This window comes from Homo sapiens, chromosome 1, assembly GCF_000001405.40.
Source record: "Homo sapiens chromosome 1, GRCh38.p14 Primary Assembly".
Classification (NCBI taxonomy): Eukaryota; Metazoa; Chordata; class Mammalia; order Primates; family Hominidae; genus Homo; species Homo sapiens.
The window spans coordinates 159,602,700-159,610,428 of NC_000001.11; the positions used below are offsets into that span (position 1 = coordinate 159,602,700).

The window sequence follows — 7,729 nt, forward strand, 5'->3', positions numbered from 1 at the left end:
TGTTCTTCCTCTTTCCCTGGCCTTTCTATGAGCCAATTCTCAGTTGCTTTAAGACCTCTCTCAGCCCCAATGTTAACTTAGTTATTTGCATTGATTAATCGCTTAGCAACACAGAAGCAGAAACAGTCAAGATTTTCACAAAAGGGCGTAGAGTTACCAAGAAAATCATTCTTACTCATATGAGGATGTAACCTTTGAAATGTATTTAAAGAGAAACAAGTTTCTAAACAGAGAGTGATGTGCCATATACAATTAAAAATCAGGACATCTTCTAATTATACTTTTGGCACATGACAAACAAATTTATTATGAGGCTAGAAAATCATCCCACAATTTTACATTTTGAATTATAATGGAACAAAAGCTTAGCTTCCTTTGTTGCTGGAGACCAAATCCTCAAGTTTCTGACCTCCTAATTTCCCAACTCCTATTTATTCTGCAATGAAGACAGTGACTAGATGAGATAACAGACATGAAAATACCAACCACCTGCAATAAAAAGCCTTACTGAGGGAAGCAACTAGCTCTGGGAAATGACAGAGGAGAGAAGGAAACAAGGAGATGACTCTGAGGGTAGATACCAGATGAATATCACTTTTCAGAAACTCATTTCTGAAGGAAACAGGAATTCCAAAGCAGCAAAGCAATGTGACATAAAGCAGAAGACAATTACCACTTATTAAGGGTTTACTGCAGAGCAGATATCATGTGAAATGGTAGTTGCGTACGTTATTTCACTTAAAACTTCAATTTTATAGTACTTGGCACTTCACAAGAGTCTTCAAATATAATGTCCTATTTGATCCTTATAGTAACCTTATGAAATATGCATTTTTATTGTTTTATTGTTTCATTGTTATAAAATGTTCATTGTTTCTACCATTAACTTTTTAGGTTCATGGTGGAAACATTACCTGACTTGCTTCAAGTCACACAGTTGGTAACTGACAGAACTAGAACCGATACCAACATTCACCAACCAACTTCAAAAGGTATGTGTTTTCCACTACGTCACCACCATCTCTCATCTTTAATCTTTTTGAAAGATAGAATATGCTTCCCGAAGATGGCCCAATAGGAACAGCCCCGGTCTACAGCTCCCATTGTGAGTGATGCAGAAGATGGGTGATTTCTGCATTTCCATCTGAGGTACTGGGTTCATCTCACTAGGGAGTGACAGACAGTGGGCGCAGGACAGTGGGTGCAGTGCACCATGCATGAACTGAAGCAGGGTGAGGCATTGCCTCACTCGGGGAGTGCAAGGGGTCAGGGAGTTCCCTTTTCTACTCAAAGAAAGGGGTGACAGACGACACCTCGAAAATCGGGTCACTCCCACCCTAAGCTTTTCAGAAGGGCTTAAAAAATGGTGCACCTGGCAATTATATCCCGCACCTGGCTTGGAGGGTCCTACACCCACGGAGTTTCACTGATTGCTAGCACAGCAGTCTGAGATCAAACTGCAAGGTGGCAGTGAGGCCGGGGGAGGGGCGCCCACCATTGCCCAGGCTTGCTTAGGTAAACAAAGCAGCCAGGAAGCTCGAACTGGGTGGAGCCCACCACAGCACAAACAGGCCTGCCTGCCTCTATGGGCTCCACCTCTGGGGGCAGGGCACAGACAAACAAAAAGATAGCAGTAACCTCTGCAGACTTCAATCTCCCTGTCTGACAGCTTTGAAGAGAGCAGTGGTTCTCCCAGCATGCAGCTGGAGATCTGAGAACAGGCAGACTGCCTCCTCAAGTGGGTCCCTGACCCTTAACCCCTGAGCAGCTTAACTGGGAGGCACCCCCCAGTAGGGGCAGACTTACACTTCACACAGCCGGGTACTCCTCTGAGACAAAACTTCCAGAGGAACGATCAGACAGCAGCATTCGTGGTTCATGAAAATTCACTGTTCTGCAGCCACCGCTGCTGATACCCAGGCAAACAGGGTCTGGAGTGGACCTATAGCAAACTCCAACAGACCTGCAGCTGAGGGTCCTGTCTGTTAGAAGGAAAACTAACAAACAGAAAGGACATCCACACCAAAAACCCACCTGTACATCACCATTATCAAAGACCAAAAGTAGAAAAAACCACAAAGATGGGGAAAAAACAGAGCAGAAAAACTGGAAACTCTAAAAAGCAGAGCGCCTCTCCTCCTCCAAAGGAACGCAGTTCCTCACCAGCAAGGGAACAAAGCTGGATGGAGAATGACTTTGACGAGTTGAGAGAAGAGGCTTCAGACAATCAGACAACTCTGAGCTACAGGAGGAAATTCAAACCAAAGGCAAAGAAGTTGAAAACTTTGAAAAAAATTTAGACGAATGTATAACTAGAATAACCAATACAGAGAAGTGCTTAAAGGAGCTGATGGAGCTGAAAGCCAATGCTCGAGAACTACATGAGGAATGCAGAAGCCTCAGGAGCCGATGCGATCAACTGGAAGAAAGGGTATCAGCGATGGAAGATGAAATGAATGAAATGAAGCAAGAAGGGAAGTTTAGAGAAAAAAGAATTAAAAGAAACAAACAAAGCCTCCAAGAAATATGGGACTATGTGAAAAGACCAAATCTATGTCTGATTGGTGTACCTGAAAGTGACGGGGAGAATGGAACCAAGTTGGAAAACACTCTGCAGGATATTATCCAGGAGAACTTCCCCAATCTAACAAGGCAGGCCAACATTCAGATTCAGGAAATACAGAGAACGCCACAAAGATACTCCTCGAGAGAGCAACTCCAAGACACATAATTGTGAGATTCACCAAAGTTGAAATGAAGGAAAAAATGTTAAGGGCAGCCAGAGAGAAAGGTCGGGTTACCCTCAAAGGGAAGCCCATCAGACTAACAGCGGATCTCTCTGCAGAAACCCTACAAGCCAGAAGAGAGTGGCGGCCAATATTCAACATTCTTAAAGAAAAGAATTTTCAACCCAGAATTTCATATCCAGCCAAACTAAACTTCATTAGTGAAGAAGAAATAGAATACTTTACAGACAAGCAAATGCTGAGAGACTTTGTCACCACCAGGCCTGCCCTAAAAGAGCTCCCGAAGGAAGCACTAAACATGGAAAGGCACAACCGGTACCAGCCACTGCAAAATCATGCCAAATTGTAAAGGCCATCGAGGCTAGGAAGAAACTGCATCAACTAATGAGCAAAATAACCAGCTAATCTCATAATGACAGGATCAAATTCACACATAACAATATTAACTTTAAATGTAAATGGACTAAATGCTCCAATTAAAAGACACAGACTGGCAAATTAGATGGAGTCAAGACCCATCAGTGTGCTGTATTCAGAAAACCCATTTCACATGCAGAGACACACATAGGCTCAAAATAAAAGGATGGAGGAAGATCTACCAAGCAAATGGAAAACAAAAAAGTCAGGGATTGCAATCCTAGTCTCTGATAAAACAGACTTTAAACTAACAAAGATCAAAAGAGACAAAGAAGGCCATTACATAATGGTAAAGGGATCAATTCAACAAGAAGAGCTAACTATCCTAAATATATATGCACCCAATACGGGAGCACCCAGATTCATAAAGCAAGTCCTGAGTGACCTACAAAGAGACTTAGACTCCCACACAATAATAATGGGGGACTTAAACACCACACTGTCAACATTAGACAGATCAATGAGACAGAAAGTTAACAAGGATACCCAGGAATTGAACTCAACTCTGCACCAAGTGGACCTAATAGACATCTACAGAACTCTCCACCCCAAATCAACAGAATATATATTTTTTTCAGCACCACACCACACCTATTCCAAAATTGACCACATAGTTGGAAGTAAAGCTCTCCTCAGCAAATGTAAAAGAACAGAAATTATAACAAACTATCTCTCAGACCACAGTGCAATCAAACTACAACTCAGGATTAAGAATCTCACTCAAAACTGCTCAACTACATGGAAACTGAACAACCTGCTCCTGAATGACTACTGGGTACATAACGAAATGAAGGCAGAAATAAAGATGTTCTTTGAAACCAACAACAACAAAGACACAACATACCAGAATCTCTGGGACACATTCAAAGCAGTGTGTAGAGGGAAATTTATAGCACTAAATGCCCACAAGAGAAAGCAGGAAAGATCCAAAATTGACACCCTAACATCACAATTAGAAGAACTAGAAAAGCAAGAGCAAACACATTCGAAAGCTAGCAGAAGGCAAGAAATAACTAAAATCAGAGCAGAACTGAAGGAAATAGAGACACAAAAAACCCTTCAAAAAATTAATGAATCCAGGAGCTGGTTTTTTGAAAGGATCAACAAAATTGATAGACCACTAGCAAGACTAATAAAGAAGAAAAGAGAGAAGAATCAAATAGATGCAATAAAAAATGATAAAGGGGATACCACCACCAATCCCACAGAAATGCAAACTACCATCAGAGAATACTGCAAACACCTCTATGCAAATAAACTAGAAAATCTAGAAGAAATGGATAAATTCCTCGACATATACACCCTCCCAAGACTAAACCAGGAAGAAGTTGAATCTCTGAATAGACCAATAGCAGGCTCTGAAATTGTGGCAATAATCAATAGCTTACCAACCAAAAGGAGTCCAGGACCAGATGGATTCACAGCCAAATTCTACCAGAGGTACAAGGAGGAACTGGTACCATTCCTTCTGAAAATATTCCAATCAATAGAAAAAGAGAGAATCCTCCCTAACTCATTTTATGAGGCCAGCATCATCCTGATACCAAAGCCGGGCAGAGACACAACCAAAAAAGAGAATTTTAGACCAATATCCTTGATGAACATTGATGCACAAATCCTCAATAAAATACTGGCAAACCGAATCCAGCAGCACATCAAAAAGCTTATCCACCATGATCAAGTGGGCTTCATCCCTGGGATGCAAGGCTGGTTCAATATACGCAAATCAATAAATGTAATCCAGCATATAAACAGAACCAAAGACAAAAACCACATGATTATCTCAATAGATGCAGAAAAGTCCTTTGACAAAATTCAACAACCCTTCATGCTAAAAACTCTCAATAAATTAAGTATTGATGGGATGTATCTCAAAATAATAAGAGCTATCTATGACAAACCCACAGCCAATATCATACTGAATGGGCAAAAACTGGAAGCATTCCCTTTGAAAACTGGCACAAGACAAGGATGCCCTTTCTTACCACTCCTATTCAACATAGTGCTGGAAGTTCTGGCCAGGGCAATTAGGCAGGAGAAGGAAATAAAGGGCATTCAATTAGGAAAAGAGGAAGTCAAATTGTCCCTGTTTGCAGATTACATGATTGTATATCTAGAAAACCCCATTGTCTCAGCCCAAAATCTCCTTAAGCTGATAAGCAACTTCAGCAAAGTCTCAGGATACAAAATCAATGTACAAAAATCACAAGCATTCTTATACACCAACAACAGAAAAACAGAGAGCCAAATCATGAGTGAACTCCCATTCACAATTGCTTCAGAGAGAATAAAATACCTAGGAATCCAACTTACTTACAAGGGATGTGAAGGACCTCTTCAAGGAGAACTACAAACCACTGCTCAACGAAATAAAAGAGGATACAAACAAATGGAAGAACATTCCATGCTCATGGGTAGGAAGAATTAATATCGTGAAAATGGCCATACTGCCCAAAGTAATTTATGTATTCAATGCCATCCCCATCAAGCTACCAATGACTTTCTTCACAGAATTGGAAAAAACTACTTTAAAGTTCATATGGAACCAAAAAAGAGCCCGTATCGCCAAGTCAATCGTAAGCCAAAAGAACAAAGCTGGAGGCATCACACTACCTGACTTCAAACTATACTACAAGGCTACAGTAACCAAAACAGCATGGTACTGGTACCAAAACAGAGATACAGATCAATGGAACAGAATAGAGCCCTCAGAAATAACTCCGCTTATCTACAACTATCTGATCTTTGACAAACCTGACAAAAACAAGCAATGGGGAAAGGGTTCCCTATTTAATAAATGGTGCTGGGAAGACTGGCTAGCCATATGTGGAAAGCTGAAACTGGATCCCTTCCTTATACCTTATACAAAAATTAATTCAAGATGGATTAAAGACTTAGATGTTAGACCTAAAACCATAAAAACCCTAGAAGAAAACCCAGGCATTACCATTCAGGACACAGGCATGGGCAAGGACTTCATGTCTAAAACACCAAAAGCAATGGCAACAAAAGACAAAATTGACAAATGGGATCTAATTAAACTAAAGAGCTTCTGCACAGCAAAAGAAACTACCATCAGAGTCAACACGAAACCTACAAAATGGGAGAAAATTTTCGCAACCTACTCATCTGACAAAGGGCTAATATCCAGAATCTACAATGAACTCAAACAAATTTACAAGAAAAAAACAAACAACCCCATCAAAAAGTGGGCGAAGGACATGAACAGACACTTCTCAGAAGAAGACATTTATGCAGCCAAAAAACACATGAAAAAATGCTCACCATCACTGGCCATCAGAGAAATGCAAATCAAAACCACAATGAGATACCATCTCACACCTGTTAGAATGGCAATCATTAAAAAGTCAGGAAACAACAGGTGCTGGAGAGGATGTGGAGAAATAGGAACACTTTTACACTGTTGGTGGGACTGTAAACTAGTTCAACCATTGTGGAAGTCAGTGTGGAGATTCCTCAGGGATCTAGAGCTAGAAATACCATTTGACCCAGCCATCCCATTACTGGGTATATACCCAAAGGACTATAAATCATGCTGCTATAAAGACACATGCACACATATGTTCATTGCGGCACTACTCACAATAGCAAAGACTTGGAACCAACACAAATGTCCAACAATGATAGACTGGATTAAGAAAATGTGGCACATATACACCATGGAATACTATGCAGCCATAAAAAATGATGAGTTCATGTCCTTTGTAGGGACTTGGATGAAATTGGAAATCATCATTCTCAGTAAACTATCACAAGGACAAAAAACCAAACACCGCATGTTCTCACTCATAGGTGGGAACTGAACAATGAGAACACATGGACACAGGAAGGGGAACATCACACTCTGGGGACTGTTACGGAGTGGGGGGAGGGTGGAGGGATAGCATTAGGAGATATACCTAATGCTAAATAACGAGTTAATGGGTGCAGCACACCAGCATGGCACAAGTATACATATGTAACTAATCTGCACATTGTGCACATGTACCCTAAAACTTAAAGTATAATAATAATAAAATAAAATAAAATAAAAAAGAATATGCTTCCCAACTTTTAGTCACTCTGGTCTCATCATGGACATCACTTCCACCAAAAAGTCTTCCCTAAATAATTTATTAGATGTTCCTTTCATAAGCACCCACACCATTCTAAGATTGTCTCCTCCCTGGCCATGTATCAAAATTGCTCATTTCCTAGTCTGCCTCCCTCACCACACAGTCAACCCCTCAACAGAACTGCTTTCTGTATCCTCAATGCTAGGACAGTTCTTGGCATAAGATACACCTCCATAAGTTACTTATGTACAAAATTGAAATGTACACATCTGTAGCTTCTTCTTGATGGTTGAGTATACCGACAATGACCATCCATTGTTCTCCAGTGCTGTGAGGCATCCAGGTTCTCAGGATGATGGGGTTTTCCCTTGCTTTGAAGAGCTCATGGTATCCTTTCTTATCTGCTATTTCCAAATTGTGAGAGAGGAGAAAAAGCAGATGAACAGTATATACAATTGCCTGTAAAGTAGCACCCTTGGGTATAGCACT

The 7,729-nt window shown here is 40.7% G+C and overlaps 2 annotated features.

Moving 5' to 3' along the window:
- Nucleotides 976-1,477: an enhancer, noted in NCBI's record as "H3K4me1 hESC enhancer chr1:159573465-159573966 (GRCh37/hg19 assembly coordinates)". NCBI's record gives its function as "activates a minimal SCP1, AML or CMV promoter by ChIP-STARR-seq in primed H9 embryonic stem cells {active_cell/tissue: H9 hESC(primed)}" and the evidence as "EXISTENCE:reporter gene assay evidence [ECO:0000049][PMID:30033119]".
- Nucleotides 1,478-1,977: an enhancer, noted in NCBI's record as "H3K4me1 hESC enhancer chr1:159573967-159574466 (GRCh37/hg19 assembly coordinates)". NCBI's record gives its function as "activates a minimal SCP1, AML or CMV promoter by ChIP-STARR-seq in naive and primed H9 embryonic stem cells {active_cell/tissue: H9 hESC(naive and primed)}" and the evidence as "EXISTENCE:reporter gene assay evidence [ECO:0000049][PMID:30033119]".